Genomic DNA, 22404 nt, shown 5'->3' on the forward strand with positions numbered 1-22404 from the left:
TGGCTTTCTTCTCTCAGCATAATTCCCTGGAGAATCATCCATTTCGTGTGTATCAGTAGTTTATTCCTTTTTATTGCTGCCTACTCATCTTTTAAGGTCCTTTATGATACCTAATTGAATACTCAATGCCCCTGACTGGAATAATCAATTTTTCTGTGCTCACTTACCAATCTTTAATAACTGTCTGTGATTCACAGCTATTTAATAACCAGGTTTTATATTTGCATAACTCTTCAGGGCTTATGAAGTACTCTTGCATTCATTATTTTATCTCATCTTATGTAAATGTCTCTATCATGTCATTGCACCTATTTTGATGAAATAGACATGTACCCCCTCCCTTCGAGTTGGGGGCATCAAGTTCAATGCCTCTTACATCGTGTGCTGCCAGGAACTGCTGCATGGGTGAGATCCTTTTGTATAGAAAGCCATCTCCTGGGTGTGATTCAAGCCAGCTAAATAATGCTGTCATTCGATGCAGCTCAAGGGGCAGATGTTCCTGGCTCTAGGTAAAATAGAAATTGTAGAACAAGGAGTGTTTTTTTAATGTAAGAGAATGTCATAATAGACTGATTTAAAAGCCTCCTTTGGGAGATGATAACTAAGGTATTTCAATATGCAAGTATTACCATAATAAAAGCTGAGTATTAAAAATATGATGAGATTTTCTTTGAAGGAAATAAATTAAACACGAGTTTACATTAGAATAGATTTATAAGCATGATAATGTTCCCCTTTAGCATAAATTGGGGAAGATTATGTGTTGCCTAGGAATGCACTAGAAGAGTCAAAGTAGTATTGTTTAAAGGTCAGACAGATATATATGAACATATGCACATGACATGAATCACCAATACCTGGTGATCTCCAATGTGTATTGAAAATTATCTGTCCATTGCTCCCTCCAGAGGACAAGGACACACGCTGAGGACCTGACATTGGGTTGGGAGCCCAGGGAGAGGACTCAGAGGGGCAAGATGATTATCAGGAGTGGGAAGAGTTGGAGTTAAGTGCCGGCTGCGTCTTCAAAGTGATGCCGACAAACAGGCATTAAGACCATAAGGAAGAGTAAGATCTAGAAAGGTCATGAACTGAATATATTGAGAGACACAGTGGGAGCAGGAAGGAAGCGAGAAGGTCCAAGACACTTTCCAGAGAGCTAGTGTGTCTGGGGCATGTTTTGATTTGGCTTCCAGCTGTTTGATGCATGTGTACAGCAGGGCCATGTTTTACCCTCTGCTGTCTCTGCATCACCTGGCGAAGGACAATAGAAGATTCAGGCGCTGAAAGCCACAGTTAATGTGGAATGAGCTCTTCAGGGTGAGGCTGACCAGGGGTGAAGCAGGGCTGAAGAGTCTCTGGGTTAGAAGGTGCTGGCCAGTTGCATGCCTGCTCTGAAAGTTAGCATCTTGGACGGTGGGTGAGGGATGAGAATGAGGTGAGGAATGGCGGAGGTGGAGCATTAGGAGTGCTGAGAACTGGAAATGAGCAAAAGCAGCATCAGAGACATAGCTGAGACTGAATTCAGTGAGGGAAATGCATGAAGAGGGGATGATAGTTTGAGATCAAGTAAGAAAGGGCATTCCAGGCCAAGGAAAGAGCTTAAGAAAAGGCATGGGTATGCAAAGGCATGTTATGTCCAGGGAATTATAGTAGTTCCTTGGTGCTATGATGTAGGATCTGTGGAGAGAGAAGGAAAAGGACATATCTCTCTTTGCTTAAATTTTAAATGTCTGGAGAGCAAGCACTTTCCATCACATTTCTTTCACTCTGTCGGAAAATCGGGGACACCGCAGTAGATTCGTAACTTGGGGGCCAGGTTCTAAAGGTAATTGAGCAAGTAAAAAATCACTGTAATCAAAGTTGCTCTTGAAAAATCAATTAAATTGTCCATAAAACACAGTAAATACACATCCAGCCTTGTGGTAAATTCCACACAAACATGTTTTTGTCCAGCACTAGAAGAGATTGATTTGTCGCAGTTGAACACAGAGTGAAGTCGTTGGTTTGCATTGATGTTTATCAAGACACCATTAATAGAGAAAGAAGGCAAGCTAGAAGAAGGCAAGTAGAAGAAGATATTTAAAATACATACACCTCCAACAGGACTTAAAAACATAAATAGGCACTTTACAATAGAGGATATGCAGATGGCCAATACACATGAGAAGGTGCTCGACCTCATTGATCATCAGGGAAATACAAATTGAAGCCACAATGAGATGTGTATACCTTTACCAGAATGGTTACAATCTAAAAGAAAGTAATACTACAATAGACTCAAAAACACCAAATACCTAGCAATACATTACACAAAAAATATAGAATACTTCTTGATGAGAACTACAAAACTACAAAAGATTGCAGAAAAATATTAGAGAAGACCTAAATAAATGAAAAGATACACCATGTTTATGGTTTGGAAGACTCAACATTTAGATGTCACTTCCCCAACATTGATCCATAAAGTCAATGAAATCTCAGTCAAAATCCTGGAGGGCTTTTTAGGAGATTGACAAACAGATTCTGAATTGAATGTGGAAATACAAAAGAACTCAGACTAGCCAAGAACAAAGTTAGATAACTACATTACCAGATTCCAAAAATTATAAATTTACGCTAATTAGGACAGTGTAGTATTGGTGTTAGGATAGACAAATAGATAATAGAAAAGAATACAGCATTCATAAAAACATCCACACCTGCACTCACTTGATTTTTGACAAAGGCACCAATACAATGCAATACGGAAAGAATGTTTTTTTAATTAATGATGCTGAAACAAATGAATATCCATATGGGGGGGAACTAACCTTGACCTACACCTGACCATAAACAAAAATTAATTCTAAATGATTCACAGACCTAAACATAAAAGCTAATACTATAAAACCTCCAGAGGAAAACATAAGAAAATATCTTTAATCTTCCTATGAAAGGACACAAACAGTGTAAGAAAGTAGTAAGTTGGTGTCATCAAATATAAAAACTCGAAGACACCATTTAGAAACACAAGCCATAAACTGCAAGAAAATATTTACAATGTATACATCTGATGAAGGACTTACCCAGAACACATAATTAATTCCTTCAAATTAACAATAGGAATTCAAACAAGTTGATTTTAAAATGGACCAAACAACCAAACAGGTATTTTACAAAATAAGTTATCCAAATGGCCAATAAGCATATGAAAATTTGTTCAACAATTGTTGCTATCAGGGAAATTCATACATAAATCACACTTTATACCACTACACACCCACACAGTAATTTTAATTTTTAAAAAACTCTCGGCCGGGTGCAGTGGCTCATGCCTGTAATCCCAGCACTTTGGGAGGCCGAGGCGGGCAGATCACGAGGTCAGGAGATCGAGGCCATCCTGGCTAACACGGTGAAACCCCGTCTCTAAAAAAAAAAAAAAAATTAGCCAGGCGTGGTGGCGAGCACCTGTAGTCTCAGCTACTTGGGAGGCTGAGGCAGGAGAATGGCGTGAACCCGGGAGGTGGAGCTTCCAGTGAGCCGAGAGATCGTGCCACTGCACTCCAGCCCAGGTGACAGAGAGAGAGAGACTCTGTCAAAAAAAAAAAAAGAAAGACCTCTCAGTACCAAGTGTGGGCAAGGAGGTGGAGCAAATGAAACTCTCATACACTGCTGGTAGAAGCATATATTGGCACCATCACTTTGTAAAGAAATGTTTTAAAGTGTTATTGAAATTGAATGTATTTATGCCAAACAACCCAGAAATTCCACGCCAAAGTATAAACTAATGGAAATGCATGTATATGCAGGCCAAAAATAGGTACAAAATGCATTAGTCATAATAGTTAAAACGTGGAAGCAACCAAACTGTTTTGTGACAATAGAATGGATAAAAAAAATTTATATATTCAGACACAGGAATACTATACAGGATGAAAATGAAGACGCCATTAAGTGGAACAACATAGAAAAACCTCACAAACAAAAACATATTGTACAATTTTATGTTTATAAAGTTCAAAGAGAGACAAAGCTGATCTGCGATGTTAGAAGTGGGGATATTGGTTAACTTTGGGATGAAAGAGGGAATAGTTAAGAGGGGCATGAGGGGGCTTCTGAGGTTGTGGTGATGTTCTATTTTTGCCGTGTATGCTTAAAATTTGTCGTTTTCCTGTGTGCATATTATACTGAAATAAAAAGCTTATTAATGTTGTGGTAGGATCTCCTTAGGAAAATATGGGAAATAATTAAGTGAATATTTGCATATCTATGTTTCTGTTTCTTCTCCGTAGAGGTAGCTGGGCCCTGGAATTGTAATCTGAAGGTCATAGGAAGGCTGTGGCCCTACCCAGCTTCCATGGCACATCTGGCACCAAACTCATGAGCCCCTCACCCAGCCCCCCTTCCCCCCATCCCAGTCTCAGCAGCAGCTGTCTTCCTGCTTAACATCCTTATAGAGTATTTATGTACACGGTGTTGCTGAATAACTTAAGCCAAGGTCAAAAGTAAACCGGACATGGAACTTGAGTTAAAGACTGTGATGTTCATACATCCGTCTGAGCTCACAGTTGTAGCGAGCAAGGAAGGGATTCAACATCTCTCAGCATTGATGTTAGGGAGCACGTCGTAAACAAACTAGAATCTGCAGCAAATTTAAAGATGCTGCTCACTGTGTGTCTTTCTCCTGATTGGAGTGAGGAGTCTGGAGGGGAGTAGCTTTTAATAGACCCAAAGACTAGAAAGCGTTTGGCAGGTGACTGTGTTTCTGGGAGCCAGGCGTGTATTAGCCTAATTTAGAACAGATCACTTACCACTTTTTTTAAAGAACTGTTGATGCTCAGCAAATAATAAGCGATAATAATAAGGTTCTCTTGTGAAAACAAAGATTTTGTTTATTCTAGACTATGTATAAACTTCGGGGAGTGGAGTGGAGGAGAGGCTGTGCAGTTCTTTTCCCTAGAAGCAGCTGAGATGGGAAACATCACAAATATTGCCTAACACAGAAGTCAGAAAGAAAGTAATAGGAGGTTTGGAACATCTCTTAATAGCAAATGAACTTACTTCATCTAACAAGATGGAAGTCAGATAAGATGGCTCAGGCAGTCAGATTCTCCTGCATGCTCTGTCTCTCTCTTCCCCGACCCTCACTCTCACTCCCCTTCTCTCCTTTTGAACATTTCCTCATATTATATAACATCCTGCTTCAACATGATTTGTAATTTCTGCCTCGTACATTGCTAATTTAAATTATACCATTTTGTTACATATTTAGGGGTTTTAAATACTTCATTGCTATAAGCAATGTACAATAAGCACTAGTATACATCCATAATTAGTTTCCTAAGATAATTTCTGGAAGTAGAATTGCTAAGAATATACAAAATTTCACATTTTTGGCATGTGCGGCCAAGTTTGCATCCAAAGGTTGGACTTCCTACTAGTGCATAAGCATGCTCATTTCCCTGCACTTTCAGCAGCATTGTGTATTAACATTTTATCTAATCTTTGCAGTTTGATTCAAAAGAAACATTGTGTATTGCGATTTAAATATGTAAGTTTATATAAAACTTTTTCATATTTTTGGACCATATTTTTTAATTTATGGATTAACTCTTCAAATCATTTGCTGATTTTTATTGCAGTGTTAATTTTTTATTGTTGAAATGTTAGATCTCTTTACATATTAAAAATCTATTCTGTGCTGCAAAAATGTTTATTTTGCATGGTTCTGGTAATTTTATTCATGGTGGTTTATGATTTCAATCCATGGTGTTGTATTTATAAAGAGCCTTCCCACTCCAAAATATGAACATTCCACGCAAAATTTCTAGTGGAAGCCAGAAACAGCAGCTAACAACTATTGAGTGCTGACTCTGTGCTGGACACTGTTCAAAGTGTTTAATCATTTAACACTCATAATACCTTGATGAGGTAAGCAACTATTATTGTGCCAGTTTTATAGATGAGGAAACTGTGGCACAGAGCGGTTGAGTAACTTGTCTAGGATCCAAAACTAGTAAGTAGTGAAGCTGGGATTTTAATGCAGTATGCCTGACTCTGCACATAATATTATCTCTCCTTCAGTTTTTTTCTTTTTGGTGGGGAGTGTCTTTTCAAAGAATTACAGCAAATTTCTCTTTCATTTACTTAAAGCTCATTCCAAAGTAACTAGAATAATTTGTGTAATAAGATCATTTTTCCCCAAAGAATAATTATCCTCAAGATCCATTCCACAATGAGAAAAACAATGTAAGTTTTTAAGAGACCCACAGAAATGAAATGTCTCTTAAATTCCTAGGAGAGCTTTTCTTTGATTCGTATTTAAAGGCATCTAGAGGCCTAAGTGAAGATTATCCACACTACATGGAAGACCAAGCCGTAACTGAAGAAATGCTGTCCCCTTCCAGGAGGCCTGCAGGGTCCCCAGCAGCTCATAGTCAAGTTCCCTGCAGCAGATGACCAACAGAGGCATCTGACATGGGGGTTAGTGCTGGCATCACCACTTTGGCAACTTGGAACACCTGTAATATTCTATTTTCTATACCAGGTTCTCAACACTGGCCCAGATAATCAAGAGTTAAATTTAGGAAAAAGCAAAGCATGCAGTGAACAGTGACATCAGGCATTTTAACTATGGGCAATTTTAATCAAGGTACCAAGTTAGAAATAAGATAGAGGCCATAACCCTCTTTTCTGGTGAGCTATTTATCCCTTGTAATGAGTAGTGCTAAAACTAGCGGCTTAATTATCTTTGCTCTGACCTCTCTTTGATTTTATGAATCCAGAAATCATTCAGTGCAACTCACAGAAAGAACACCTGCTATGAACAAGAGACTGTTCTAAGTAAACCCTGGGAGACACAGAGTCTTTGGTCTAATGGAAGAGGTGGATGAATATGTGACCACATGGCTCTAGTATAGAAAGACTCTGATTAGTATATGATAAATGGGGTAGAGCCAAAATAATCCATAAAGCGTATAGACCATATGTCAGAGAAGTACATGAAAATAGCAAGATAAGTTGGCTTTTTCAGATCATGGAGAGCTTTAAATGCCATCCCAAAGAGAATCATTTGTTCTTTCATTTAACAAATATTTATTTTAACCATCCATTATATAGCGATTACTATTGTAGGCACTGAAGATGTAGCAGTGAACAAAACTGACTAAGTTTCTGCTCTTGTAAAGTGTATTTTCTAATGGGAAAATTGTATATATATAATTAATTATATATTAATTGTAATTAATAATAATTATATGCAATTATATATACAAACAAATTATACAAATGTGTTAAATATTTATTACTTTATGTGTGTATATAAATATAAATTCATTCATTATGCATGTGTATTAATTTCTGGTAGATAAATGTATATTCGTGTAAATTATATAAATATCCAAATTAAATATGTATATTTAATCTATATAAAATATAGATTATATTTGTATATTATATATAATTTTTAAATAAATTTATACATAATGTTTCAGGTAACAGTACAATAAAGGAAAATAAAACTGGATAAAAGGACAGAGTTTTAGGCCTCAGTCTCAACCCTGCCTGCACATTAAAATCAACCAGAAAGGTTTGGAAAATGATGATGCCTAGGCCCCCACTCAAGAACAAGGGGATTAAAACCTTTGTAGTGGGCCCTGGCACTGGTTTTTTTGTGGGTTTTTTGGTTTGTTTTTTTGAGACAGTCTCGCTCTGTTGCCCAGGCTGGAGTGCAGTGGCGCAATCTTGGTTCACTGCAACCTCTGCCTCACAGGTTCACGCCATTCTCCTGCCTCAGCCTCCCTAGTAGCTGGCATTACAGGCATGTGCCACCACGCCCGGATAATTTTTGTATTTTTAGTAGAGACGGGGTTTAGCTTGTTGGCCAGGCTGGTCTTGAACTCCTGACCTCAGTGATCCACCTGCCTCGGCCTCCCAAAGTGCTAGGATTACAGGCCTGAGCCACCACGCCCAGCCAGCATTGGTATTTTCTAATTTGCATCCCAGGCAAGAACCAACAAGACAGAGAATGAGGACATGCATTTAAACAGGCTGATCAGGGAAGGCCTCTGTAATTGAGCAGAGACTTAAATAGAGTGAAGGAATAGGCCATACAGATAGGTGGAAAGGCTATACAGTGAACAGCTAGCCCAACATGTGGCACTTAGTTATCATGAAAGAGTGAATGATTAGTAGCACAAAGAATTGACAAGTGCTTGAGGTAATAGATACCCCATTTACCATGATGTGACTGTTATGTATTGTATGCCTGTATCAAAATATCTTATGTACCTGTAAGTATATGCACCTATTATGTACCAATAAAAATGAAAAAAATTAAAAAGAATGGATGAATGGATGCATCAGGATATGGAATAGTGTCAGAGAAGAAATTAACTGGGCACCTGCATTCAGGGTCACAAGCCCACCCCAGGTTTACTGATTGGCAAGAAGGACTCACAAGGACCCAGCATATATGGTCATACTCAGGGCTCAGATTTGTTACAGCAACAGGATACAAAGTAAAATCAGCAAAGGGAAGTCCAGAGGAAACCAGGTGCAAGTTTCCAGGAGCCCTCTTAATTGCTCCAGCGACAAGCTGGGACAACACCTGTGAAATGGTGTCTATCCAGGAAGCTCGTTAGAGGCTCAGTACTCAGGTCTTTACTGAAGCTGGTCACATAAGCGCCCTCTGCCTTGCATGAGGCATTCCAGACTCCTGAAAGGAAAGCAGGTGTTCAGCATAAACCATATTATTGAGGCAAATAGTTTAGGCATAGCTTGTCAGGGAATGGTGGGAACACCGCTGAGATCCAAGTTCACTGATGCCAGCCAAGAACCAAACTTGCAAGCAAGCCTTTTTAAGGAGGGCAGTCCCAGTCCTCCGCTGTGTTAACTCTTTTCTGCACCGTGCCATATACCAAGGGCCGGATCAAGGGCACTGGGGATGAGAATAGAAAGCAAAAAGATATACTTGAGAATTTTAACAACTGTTTATAGATATGAAAGGTGAAGAATATGAAACAGAATCTCTGGTTTTCAGAGATGTTTACAGGTTACCTCTTAGGAAGCCTTCCCTGAAACCCAAGTACAGCTTAGCTTTTCCCCATAGCACCCTCCACCCTCTTTCTTCCTTCTTCCCTCCCTTCCCTCCTTTATTTTCTTCTCTTCCCTTCCCTTCTCCTTCCTCCCTTCCTCTCTTTCTCTTTCTTTTTCTGTCTTTCTTTCTCTCTCTTTCTCTCTTCTTTATTTTTCTTTCTCCTTTCTCTCTTTCTTTTTCCTTCCTTCCCTCTTTGTTTTTTCTTTTCTTTATCCTTCCTTCCTTCTTTCTTTCTATTTCTTTTTTTTCCTAGAGACAGGGTCTCACTATGTTGCCTGGGCTGGCTGTGAACTTCTGGGCTCAAGTTATTCTTCCACCCCAGCCTCTCAAGTAGCTGGGATTACAAGCATGTACCACAGCACCCAGCTCCCTTTATCTTTCTTAATGGTGCATATTACAGTTGTAATTCACTAAACAGATATTCCCACAAATAGTTGAGTCTGGTCTCCCCAGCTAGACTATAAACTTCATAAAGTTTTTCTCAGCACATAGGCAACTTTCTTACACAAAATAACTACTCAACAAACATATAGTGAATGAATTAATGAACGCATGAGAGTATCAGGTAGAGGCTTGAGGCAAGAACCCGATTTGAGTCTGAGGTTCAGGCCAGGTGCCTATGTGCAGATGCAGGCCAGCCTGTTGACCTGCAGCAGGTGTGTGCACAGCTTAGGCTCGAACAGAGCCCAGAGTGGATCTCAGAGATCAGTCTTCCAGTGCTTTAGTTGTCATGACCCTCACCACAGGGGCCACCGCTTTGGTAGTTGATTAAAATAATGCATGTATCTCTAAGGGTTCCTTTTGTGAACCTTCTTCAGCATTCATTCTGCAAATATTTATTGGGGCCCTACTGGATTCCCGGTTTGGTACTGCCTTTTGGAGTTGATGAAATGAATTAGTAGACATGGCTCCAGCTTTAGGGACTGGAAGCACCATGAGTGAACTGGACAAGGTAACCAATCCAAATAACACAGGGCCATGTAACAGATGCATGCACACGTACCTGTCACAAAATTGGTGCTCAAGACATAGTCAATGAATGCTTTTGAATGAAGGTGTAACCTTGGGTAAAGCAGATGTTTTATAGGTTGGTGAGGAAAAGAAGCCTGCAAAGGAGGTTGAGAAAGAGCAGTCAGAGAGGTGGCAGAAAAACCAGGTGGCAGGAGGGCAATTCAGAGATCAACAGTGGGCAAGCCTGAGAGGCAAAGTGGTCAGGAATGTCAGGTGCTTTTGTGAGGCATGAGAGATAAGCATCAAAGAGCAATCATTGACTTAGCAATCCCCAGAGCATCAGTGATCATGGGAAGAGCACATAGAGCTTGTGTTGGGGGCAGAAGCCAGTCTGTGGGGGTTGAGGAAGGAATGGGAAGTAAAGGACTTAAAGAGAGCTCATGGAACGCCTCCTCAAGAACCTTGGCTTTGAATGAAAGGAAAGAGAGAGAGACACAGCTTGAGGATTTGTCAGGTAAAGGTGGAAGGAGTCAATCCTGAGTAAGAGGCATCTTCGTGTCGTTAGTTACATGCTCAGGGAAGACTTGTGGAGAGGAGAACCGAAGATGGAGCTGAAAGTATGCGTTGGAAAGAGACATCAAAGAAAGCAGGAGCACATGTCGCAGCAAGTAGCTGCAAATTAGCAGGAGAGACAGGGTCTCCACTGAAGACAGCAGCAGGAGCTGGTGGGCATGAATTTAAGTATTTAGGTGGAAGGAAAGAGAAATGGTCCCCATCTGACTGGCGAGGAAAAAGAAGGCTGGATGCGAGAGGGGTTGAAAAGGTTAGATTTGGGTTGGGGTGAGTGGGGCAGAGGGTGGTGATGGTCATTGTTTCTTTCAGTGTAAAGAATGGAAGAGAGAGAGTTAATAAGAAAGTTGCCAACAATATGGCAAGCACTTTGAAAAAAGGAGTTGAAGCATTTGCTGCTTAGATATTCTTCACAGTAAGCAGGAGTAATACCATGTCTGTGTACTTTGGAGTCAGACCTGAAGTTCAGTTTCAACATCTATCTTAAAAACAACTTTAGGTTACACTATATAACATTGCCACTTTTGTAGGTTAAAATAAATTGCATATTGTCAATTTTGTATGGCTGTATCTCTATAATACTTATCTCAGAAGTTGTGGTGAGGATTAAATAAGACAATACACCTGAAACTACATTACTTTCCCTTTCAATGGATCTTCAGTTAATACTGGGGCTTCTCGGTTTCCACCAGCCCATTCTGGCAGAGGAGGAGGAGGGTCAATGGTTCTCAGATACCTTCCAGCAAAGAAGGGGTAAATATATGCACACTCAAGACCAGCTTTTCCTCTTCCTCACTGAGAAGGACCAAGAGAAGAGGTGCTGAGGGCACAGTTTCAATTTATGTGGATTTGGCAGGGAGAGTTTATACCAAAACACACAGAATCAAGAAGTGAACTTGTTTTTGTTTTACAGACAGAGTCTTGCTCTGTCATCCAGGCTGGAGTGCAGTCATAGCTCACGGCAGCCTTGACCTCCTGTGCACAAATGATCCTCCCACCTCAGCCTTCCAAGTAGCTGTGATTATAGGTGTGCGCCACCATGCTTAGCTAATTTTTTATTTTTACTTTTATAGAGATGGGTGTCACTATGCTGCACAGGCTGGTCTTGAACTCCTGGCATCAAGTGATTCTTCCTCCTCAGCCTCCCAAAGTGTTGGAATTATACAGGCGAGAGCCACTGCCCCTGGCCTTGTTGCTTTGGAAGAAAGAATATAGCCATTGTTTAAGAGCCTTGACTCAAGCCAAACAAATCCTACTCTTCTCCGTCTTCATCTCAGTTTTGTCATCTTTCTGGTGTGATGCTACTTGTTTCTTGAGGCTGTTGTGAGGATTAAAGAGTTTTGCAAAGCATTTTTGGTAGTGACTATTTGTACAGTAAGCACTTATATACAGTACCTCTTGACTGTGGCTACTGTTGACTTTTGTTTAGGCAAAGTGGCACTGAGGTCAGACAGACTGAGGAAGACAACCTCTTTATGTCCTTCTAACAACCCTATATGATTCCCAAAGTGGCCATTTCTTCTAAGGTGGGTAAAAGTTGGTGGTCACAAGACTAAACTCTATTACTTTATTATTAGATGTAGTTGCATGTAGTTGTTCCTTTCTTGAGACATTAGGAAAAAATGTTTAAGAAATGTAGTATGTTATCACTGATATCTCTTCCAGGACATGGTGGGATAGGTGTAGAAGGCTCAAATGGACAACGCAAATTGTAGCTCCACTTCTTCCTGAAATAATACTGTAGATCCCAAAAAGATAGACACATTATACTTTTTAAAAATCCTCTAAGTAAAGGCACTCTACAATAGTCTATGAAAATGTAATATGGGACACACTTATAGTTTTTATATCGTCCTTTTACATAAAATTGTTCCTTTCCCATGCGTAAAAAAGAATACAGTCGTCCCCACTTATCCTTGGTTTCACTTTCCATGGTCAAGTTGCCCGTGGTCAAGTGCGGTCAGACAATATGACATCACTAGTCTTGTAAAATAAGGGTGACTTGGCCCGGTGCGGTGTCTCACACCTGTAATCCCAGCACTTTGGGAGGCCGAGGTGGGCGGATCATGAGGTCAGGAGTTTGAGACCATCCTGGCCAACATGGTGAAACCCCGTCTCTACTAAAAATACAAAAATTAGCCAGGCATGGTGGCACACGCCTGTAGTCCCAACTACTCAGGAGGCTGAGGCAGGAGAATCGCTTGAACCCGGGAGGCAGAGGTTGCAGTGAGCCGAGATGGTGCCCCTGCACTCCAGCCTGGCAACAGAGCGAGACTCCATCTCAAAATAATAAAATAAAATAAAATAAAATAAAATAAAATAAAATAAAATAAAATAAAGTAAGTGACTTGAACACAAGTACTGAGATACTGCAACTGTCTATCTGATAGCAGATCTGGCTACTAAGTGACTAATGGGCAGGTAGTGTATACAACATGGATATGCCGGACAAAGGGGTGATTCACATCCTGGGCAGGATGGCAGAGATCCTCTCGCACTACTCAGAACAGAGCACAATTTTAAACCTATGAGCCGTTTCTGGAATTTTTCCATTTACGTCACAATGCCTATGTTATTTATCTCATCTCATTTCATCTCATCACGCAGGCATTTAATCATCTCGCATCATCACATGGAAGAAGGGTGAGTACAGTACAATTAGATATTTTGAGAGAGAGAATATATTCACATAAATTTTATTATAGGATATTATTATATTTGTTCTATTTTACTATTAGTTCTTGTTAATCTCTCTCTGTGCCTAGTGAATAAATTAAACTTTATTATAGGTAAGTATGTATGTGGGAAAAAAACATAGTAGTTGCAGGATTCGGTACTGGCCAGTTTCACCCATCCAGTGGGGGGTCTTGGAACATATCCCCATAGATAAGGGTGTCTACTGTAGTGGAATGATATCCTCTGATCTGCTTCTCCCCATTCAATCTAGACGCTTAGGCTTCGGTAAATCACACAAAAGTTCAGAAACGGCAGACGAACACTCAGGGGGATGCTCATAATAAAAATTCGGCAATGGAAACTATGCGATGTATTGTCTTACTCACCCCTCCTTTGTATATCTCGAAGTCAGGTTCAAGGCAAGCTACGGAACCTCCTTGCTCATTTAAAAAATAAAAAGAGGCTGACCCTGTTTATCTCACAGGCCTACCCTGGTAAATTTTGCCCAAATGAAATTCAATTTAAGCCTCAAGTTGCCAAGGAGTCACCATTCTCCTGGGTTGGCAAAAGGGTTTACTTATAGAATCCTTGATGTGTATGCTTGAAAATTTCAAAGAGAGAAGAATGACAAGGGTCATGGCAGCTGTTAATTGGACTAGATTACATTTATCATTAGGCATTTTCCACAGGGTATCAATCTAATTATGGAGCGACCATGTAGTGGAACAAAGATCATTTTTCAAAGCAGTCACTGAGGATGGGCCCTGCAGAATGACAGTCAGCCTCTTCTTGTTTGACATGCAGATGGTGTCCTCCCTGGCATTTTTATTGGGTAATATATTACCATAAGAAGGTCTATGATAAGTGAAAAAGTAAAACTTGGGATAATTAGGGAGTTTTATAAGCTAATGAGTCATGTCCTTTCAATAGCTTCTTGGAATGTTCAGTATGGCTCCAGCTCTACATGGTGCATGTGGAGACCCGGGCCCTAGACCCTGCCCCTCACAGGTCCTGCATGGTGAACAACTCCCCTTTCTCCCCCTTTTTTAAAACTTTACTAAGGGTTAATTGGTATACAAAAAGTTTCACATATTTCGTACATACTTCTTGATGAGTTTGGATATATACATACACCTGTATGTAGACATCACCACAATCAAGGTACTAAACATGTCCACCACCTCCAAAAATTTCCTTGTGTTCTTTTGCGCATTTTGTTTTGTGCTAAGAACACTTAGTCTGATATCTATCCTCCTAACGGTGGCTTTACATTGCCTTTTCAGAGAAATTCCAAGCTACTTCACAAAGGCCTCCTGGTCTACTCAGCCCACCATGTTAGCTTATCTTTGGAGAACTCGCTTCAGCTCACATCAGAGTTCTGCCCATCGGACCACTTGCTAAGTCCTCTCTACCTCCCACACCTTTGCCCATGTTAAACCTTTTGCCTAAAATACTCCTCTGGCTCCTTCTGTATGCCCTTAGCCCTAACTCTTTTGCTTAGATAACACCTACTCATCCTAGGATCTTTTCCTCAAGGCAGCCAGCCCTCCTCACTCATGCCATCCACTGAGAGCACCCAAAGTGCCTTACTGACATATCACTTATTTCACTGTATTGTAATTATCCTTTGTCCCCCATTAGATGCAGCGAAGCGTGCATCTCTCTTCTTCACCACTGTCTCCCCCTCTGCCTGGTAGATGGTAGCCCCTTGGTAAATATTTATTAAATGAAAGAAGGAAGATCATCGAAAGACTAAGCTCATGCTACTAGAAGGCAGAGTAAAGAGAGGATTACAACCTAGGACATGGTTCTGAGTGCGTGCAAGGGGCGTAGGAGGACATCAACATGACATCGCACTTAACACTTCTGTTCTTGCAGAATTCATTTAAAGTAGGAACTGTTTGCAGGGAGAATAATAAATAAAGCTTACGAAAAAAAAGATGTTTAGACCATGGAACTAATCAGTGGACTCTTGGACTCTTTGCACTAAAGGTTGGCTTCCCCAGGCTCTGGTGAGATGCTGTTCATGAACAAGAAAGGAGCTCATGCCCACGGCCCTGAGCAGCCTGGGAGACTAGGAATAGAGCCGTTTTGTCCACTGCGGTGGAGAGGGCTGCTGCAGTGAATGACTGAGACCTCTGGAAAGGGTTTCGGGGTGCAGAGCAGCCTGTTGGAATTAGACGTTATGCTTGCTCAAAAAAAGGAGTTTCATTTTCATTAAATGGAAATATTTACTGCCCAGGGGCATTTGGTGAAAAACAGTTTGGTATTGGGAAGTGGGGTCAGGCTCTGTGCCTTTGATAAAACTCATGCCAGCCTCAAAAAAAAAACGCATGATGTGTCGCTATATGGGGGGACCCTATGGTTGGAGGTCTTACAAATCCAATGGGGCCAGTGTATTAAATATGGCCCTTTTCCCATAGAGTTGGTCATCATGATGTTTACCATGTTTCAGATTCAAGGTATCTGATCTCACCAGGGTCACATGGCCAAATATGTAACTCTCATTAAAAGATTGAGTTATATAGTCAGTATGGGGAAATCTCTATTCACTCTGGTGAACTGTGACATATTTTATTTATCATTTTTAATTATATATATTTAAGGTGTACAACATGATGTTTTGATATGCATATACATAGTGAAATGATTATTACAGTCAAGCAAATTAACATATCCGTCACCTCACTCAGTTACCTTTTCTTATGGTCAGAGCACCTAAAATCTGCTTTCTTAGAACCTGTTCGGTATAGGCACAATATTATTAACTTATCATCCTCATGCTGTACTTTAGACCTCTAGATTTCTTCATCCTATCTAACTGCAACTCTGTACCCTTTAAGCTACGTCCCTACTCTTTGTACCCTTTGTCCCTACTCTCCCTGACTCTACCTCTGGGAACCACTGTTCTCTCTGCTTCTATGAGTTTGACTCTTTTCTTTTCTTTTCTTTTTTTTTTTTTTTTTGAGATAAAGGCTCACTCTTGTGGCCCAGGCTGGAGTGCAGTGGCGTGATTTTGGCTCATTGCAATCTCCGCCTTCCAGGTTCAAGCGATTCTCCTGCCTCAGCCTCCCAAGTAGCTGGGATTATAGGTGCACACCATCATGCCCGGCTAATTTTTTGTATTTTTAGTAGAGACGGGGATTCACCAAATTGGCCAGGCTGGTCTGAACTCCTGACCTCAGGTGATCCACCTGCCTCGGCCATCCCTCGGACTGCTGGGATTACAGACATGAGCCACCACGCCCAGCCAAATTTGACTCTTTTTGATTCCATGTATAAGTGACAACATCTGGTATTTGCTGTTCTGTGCCTGGCTTATTTCACTTAGCACAATGTCCTCCAGGTTTATCCATGTTGACATGGATGGCATAAGAAAAGGTCATGTATTTATGACACAATTTCCTTATCCATTCATCATGTATTGATAAACATTTAGGTTTATTCCGTATCTTGGCTATTGTAAATGATGTTGCAATGAACATGGGGGTTGCAGACATTGCTATGAGTTGCTGACTTCATTTCCTTTAGGATAAATACCCAGAAGTGGGATGGCTGGGTCATATGATGGAGGGATCTCTTGTTTACAGGGGTCACAGGGTAACTTGAGCAGTGCCCCTAGGGATATAGGAATGGCTTAGCAGCTCAGTCTAAGGTAGCCAAGAGAGCACAAGAAAGAAGGTGTCCCACTGCCTGCCACTGCGCAGTGAAGGATGAATGCTGGTACTCCAGGGAAAGAGATTCTGAAAAGTGAGACGGGGTGTAGCAGGGGAGATGGCACCACGCAGTGTGAAGCACATGCCCATTCTTGAATGAAGCTATAAGCTTCCTGTGTACTAAATACCTCTCCCAGTGCTTCTCAGTTCTAACACCCTGCACAGGAAACACAGAGATGCTCCATAGTTGCCTGTTGAGTGTCGGTGCTCTTGGGATGTGCAGGGCTGACTGCAGGGTGTCCTCAGTTTCCAAGGGCAGGTGCAGGATGCAGTTGTAAATGCAAGGGGGTTAGGGAACATCTCTAAAGCCACTAATAAACACACAACTCCTTCGAAGAAAAGGTCCTTCATGACTTCTCATGATGGAATGGTGGTTCCATTTGGTAATTCTTTGCAGCATATTATTTCTACCTCTCACTGATGGCTTTCATCATTGAATCCTCCAGCCATGTGTGTCTTTGCTGTTTGTTTTTAGGTGAGTATTTATGGTCTATGGGTTGTTCAGACATATATTTTTATTTAGAAGCGAAATTAGCACCTGCTAGGCAACTATTTTAAATCTTGTAATTCTTGTAGCAGTTAAACAGATTTTTTTTCTTTCATGAGTTTCTGATTCACTTAATAAATATCTACTAAGATACTTTGCTAGACTGTGGGGATACAGAGATGAATAAATCAGGGCCCCCTTTCTCATGGACTTAGAGTCTAATGGATGAGACTCGTGTGAAAACAAATAAATATTGTGCGGGGTGATAAGTATAAGGATAGAGGGGTGTCCAATAGACAGTATGATGAAGTTGCACAGAGAACAGAGATGGTCAGCCAAGAGGACAAGGAATACGTGGTGTGGGAGCAGGGAGAGGAGTGTGCCAGCTGTAGGAAATAGCATGTGTAGTGCTGTGTCATTCTCTTGATAATAATCATCTTCTCCGCAGCACTGATCTTTCTGTGTGATATTCACTGTGTTCTTTTTGAACAATTGTAGTATCCTCCAGGTTAACAAAGGAAATATTAAACAGCGCAAGGCTCAGGACTAACTTTCATCACAGCAGCCCTGAGGGTTTTCACTGTATCCTGAGGAAATTCCTTGGAACCTCAGGGTGATACCAGTTTTGAAGTTTTTACCGCACTGTCCCGCTGTGAGTGGTACTGCATTATAATAGACTCTTCTAGTACTTTCAGGAACAAAATCCACTTTGGATGTCATCCTAGTCTCATATTGAAGTGAGTTTTGACCTAACTGGATCATGCTATTGGGGGAAGCTCTGGAGTATTTTGAATTTAACTAGTCATCCAACACAGTCTTCAGATCTTTAGTATATCTGCTTCTTTTTTTCTGCTTGATCAGTTTCTGAAAAAGCTATTTTAATATCCATCTTCAGTTAGGAATCTTTTTTCTCCCTGTGGTTCAGTCTATTGCTTCTCTTCATTTTCTGAGGCTGAGTTGTTAGAGACATGCAGTCAGTACTCCATATCCATGAGCCGTGGACTCCAACAACCACGGATCAAAAATATTCGGGAAAAAAATGATGGTTGTCTCTATATTGAACCTGTATAGACTTTTTTTTCTTGTCATTATTCCCTAAACAATACAGTACAACATTTACACTGTATTAGGTATTATAAGTAATCTAGAGATTATTTACAGTATACAGAAGATATGCATGGGTTATATGCAAATACTACACCATTTTATACCGGGGCTAGAGCATCTGTGATTTTGGTATCCTCAGTGGGTCCTGGAACCAATCCCCCAGGGATACCATGGGACAAGTGTATATGTTTATGACGATCATATCATCTTTCTCTTTTTTCCTTTATTATGTATACTGTCCTTTCTTTGTATTTATGATCATTGTATCTTGTCACCTATTAAGATTATACCCCAGCTTTCTAACTGTATTTGCATGCGGAATCTTTTTCAACTTTTAACTTTCAACCTTTTTACATCATTTTTGTTTTAATTGAACCTCTTTATAAACAACATGTAGGTGGATCTTTTTTTCTTCTTTTTAATCTGGTAATTTCTAGAGGTTTAAAATTTAATCATTTTAATTACTGGTGGCAACTGTAATTTTATAACTGGTTTCTGCAATTTTGTTTTCTATTTTTCATTTAATGTATTTTTTGTCTCTCCTGAATTCCACTGCATAAATTTTCTTCATGTTCTTCTGATGGAATAATATAACTATCACTAAACTTAGAATCTCCATTCATTCTTTAAACTTATCAATATCTGTCTCTCTCACCTCACAAGACAAATATTTTAGCATGTTCTGACATCCCTTCAGTCTCTCCTATCCAGCTTCATTTCCATGATATTACTATTGCCTAATTTTTAGTTTTTAATTTTTATGGATACACTTTCTTTTCTTTGAGCCTAGCCATTTTTTAATCTAAAATAAAAGTTACCAAGATATTTGCTCTTTTTTTTTTTTTTTTTTTTTTTTCTGGAGACGGAGTTTCGCTCTTGTTGCCCAGGCTGGAATGCAATGGTGTGATCTCTGCTCACTGCAACCTCCACCTCCCACTCACTGCAACCTCCACCTCCCGGGTTCAAGTGATTCTCCTGCCTCAGCCTCCCAAGTAGCTGGGATTACAGGCATGTGCCACCACGCCTGGCTAATTTTGTATTTTTAGTAGAGACGGGGTTTCTCCATGTTTGTCAGGCTGGTCTCCAGCTCCCGACTTCAGGTAATCCACCCGCCTCGGCCTCCCAAAGTGCTGGGATTACAGGCATGAGCCACCGTGCCCGGCCTCATCTTTCTTTCCATATGTCTTTCAGTATCAATATGATTTTTCTGCTCTTTTTAATGAAGACTTTTTTCTATGTGTTTTGGTGTCTTAGTGTGAAAAAACTGAGATCTTGTGGATGAGAGGTTTGCTTCAGATTCAGATGACAGTTTAGCTGAGTATAAAATTATAGGTTCAAAGATATTGGAAAATCTTATTTCACTGTCTTTTTTTACACCCAGTGCTGCTACTGTGACTCCTGATATCATTTCATTCTAGTTCCTTGGTGAGTAATCTGCTTTCTTTCTGAAGAGACTTTAGAATTTTCACTTTGTCTTTAATGTTGGTAAGTTTTACTGTATTAAAGGATGGACTTACCTTATCTCTCCTATTTGACACCCTTTAATTCTGGGAAATTACATAGTTTGCCCTTTCTATTTTCTTTTTTTTTTTTTTTTGTCCTGTTGGAAATCATAGTGTAAAATATTGGTAATTCTTCTCTCCCTCACATCTCTTAGCTTTCTTTTATATTTTCTGCATCCAACTTGCTGTTTATCCAATTTACTGTGTTTTTTGTTTCACCTGTTATTGTATCATATGTAATATTTGTACATAATTCTTTATGTTTCATATTATTGCTTCATATTTATCTTTTTAAGTAGAGTTATACTTATTTTAAATCTTTTTGTGCTTCTGTTGTAATATCTCTGCTTTGGATGGTTCTGTTTTTTGTCTTTCATTTATAGCATGTGTACTCCTCAGTTATGAAGTTATTTTGACCTGTAAGCTCATGTTTCTTTGGGAGAATCGGTTACTCTGGTAATTTTTTGGATAAAGGGCCAAAAGTCAGCTTAGTACCGGAGAATTTCAGGATCAGGTTGAGGAATAAACTCTGAGGGCAGCCAGGAGCCTGTGCATCAGAAGACCCACTTTTGGTCCCTACCACTCTCCTGCTCAGGTTTTTACTTTCAGACCCTTAGAGGCGTGGTTTTCAAGCTTCATTGTGAATCTGAATGACCGGAGAGCTTATTACAGTACAGAGTGCTGGGTTCCACCCCCAGAGTCTCTTGAGTGGCTTGTTCAGGATGGACCTGGTGATTGGCATCTCTAACAAGTCCACCGGTGATGCAGATGCTGTTGGTCTTGGGACCACATTTTGAGAAATGCTGCCTTAGGGAGGGCCACAGTGGGAGGAGTCAGGTTCCCTGAACTGTAACTCACTGATTATAACGGCAAGAAGGGGAGAGAAAGAGAGAGTGATTGTCCAAGGAGGGGCTGATCAGCACTCACTGGTCTTCAAAGATTCACCCCGGCAAGGTTTGGCACTGCCAAGTTATCCCTTCCTGTACACACCTGGGGCTGGGCTCTTCCTGCAGACCTCCAGGTGGAAGATATCTGCCTAAGACATGAAGCGAAAAGGCAAGAGCAGGGAGAGCTTTCCTCTGACCTCCTTCACTTTGTCTACAGCTGTCTTCTTGATGCTTATCCACACGCACTCAAGATGGACTTCAGACTTTTCAGCCATTTCTCACTGCTTTGTTTTCATTTTCATTTTTTCACTTCTTTACCTTTATTCTTCCAGAGCTGTTTTGCAGGGAAAGAGCAACAGTCTATGCTAGCTCACTAGCTTGAACTCTGAAGCTGTCATTATGAAACCCTGTTCAACAGTTTCCTCTTGATGTTAAACTAGAGACAGAAAATCTATACCTCAAAAGGACAGGAGGAGAATGGCATATCACATCTAGAGAGGCAGGGAGAGCCACGTCATGCTGGGCTCTGTAGGATGGGAGGGAATTTTTACAACAGTGTATCATGAAACACTGATGATTTATTTAGAAAAGAGACATCACTCGATTTACATTTTAAGATCACTCTGGCTGCTTTACAAAGTATAGATGGTGGTTTGACAAAAACGAAAGCAGGGAGACCAGTTATAAATTATCTAAGCAGGTGATTTGAACTAAGATGGTGGCAATGGAGATGGGGAGAAGTGAATGGATTAAAGATATTGCTTGGAGATAGATATGACAGAATGTACTGATGAACTGGATATGAGGGAAGAGGAAAAAAAAGAAATTGACTCCTAGGTTTTTAGCTTGAGCAACTGGATGGAGACTGGTGCCATTTCCTGTGATGGGAAAACATGTAGGGGCATGAGGTGGGGGCAGGGGATGGAATGGGAGCAGAGATTAATGGTTCTATTTAGTATATGTGAAGTTTAAGACTTAGTCATCCAAGTGAAGATGTCAAATCAGTGGTTGGCTCTACTGGAGCACACAGGAGAGTGCAGGTGGGAACACACATGTAGGAGTCATTGGCACATAAATGAATGAAATCAATGACGGAATCTGTGTGGATGGAAAAGGGGAGAACCAAGTCCTGACACAGGGTTCCCTCTCTGCTGTTTGAGTGAAGATGGAACATTACAGGGCCCCTTGGGGACATAAAATACCCATGGGGGACATTGTGAACAGGATTTCAACATGAGGTAGGAAATTAGACAAAGTGACTTCCCAGTCCTGAGCTTCTAAATTTCTTTCTTCCCAAAGTCCAATCTGGATGCGTAATCTTTCTCACAGCGCCCACATTTTTAGTTATTGTGAGTCACTAAAGAGTTAGTAATGGTTTTAGAGCATGGTGATGTGCCTGCTGACTGTTTGGGGATATTCCAAGTGGCTG

The 22404-nt window shown here is 40.5% G+C and overlaps 1 protein-coding gene across 1 annotated transcript in view, besides 1 other annotated feature; it reads left to right on the plus strand.

The window, feature by feature from the left end:
• The window catches only part of SLC35F3 (solute carrier family 35 member F3), a 419836-nt gene that overhangs the window by 222388 nt on the left and 175044 nt on the right, over window positions 1–22404 (plus strand). The gene's annotated exons all lie outside the window — the stretch shown is intronic.
• Window positions 4763–4932: an enhancer, noted in NCBI's record as "experimental_6338 CRE fragment used in MPRA reporter constructs". NCBI's record gives its function as "activates a minimal promoter by MPRAs in K562 erythroleukemia cells, with activity observed for the introgressed 1:234267657 variant allele {active_cell/tissue: K562}" and the evidence as "EXISTENCE:reporter gene assay evidence [ECO:0000049][PMID:34662402]".

This window comes from Homo sapiens, chromosome 1, assembly GCF_000001405.40.
Source record: "Homo sapiens chromosome 1, GRCh38.p14 Primary Assembly".
Taxonomy (NCBI): domain Eukaryota; kingdom Metazoa; phylum Chordata; class Mammalia; order Primates; family Hominidae; genus Homo; species Homo sapiens.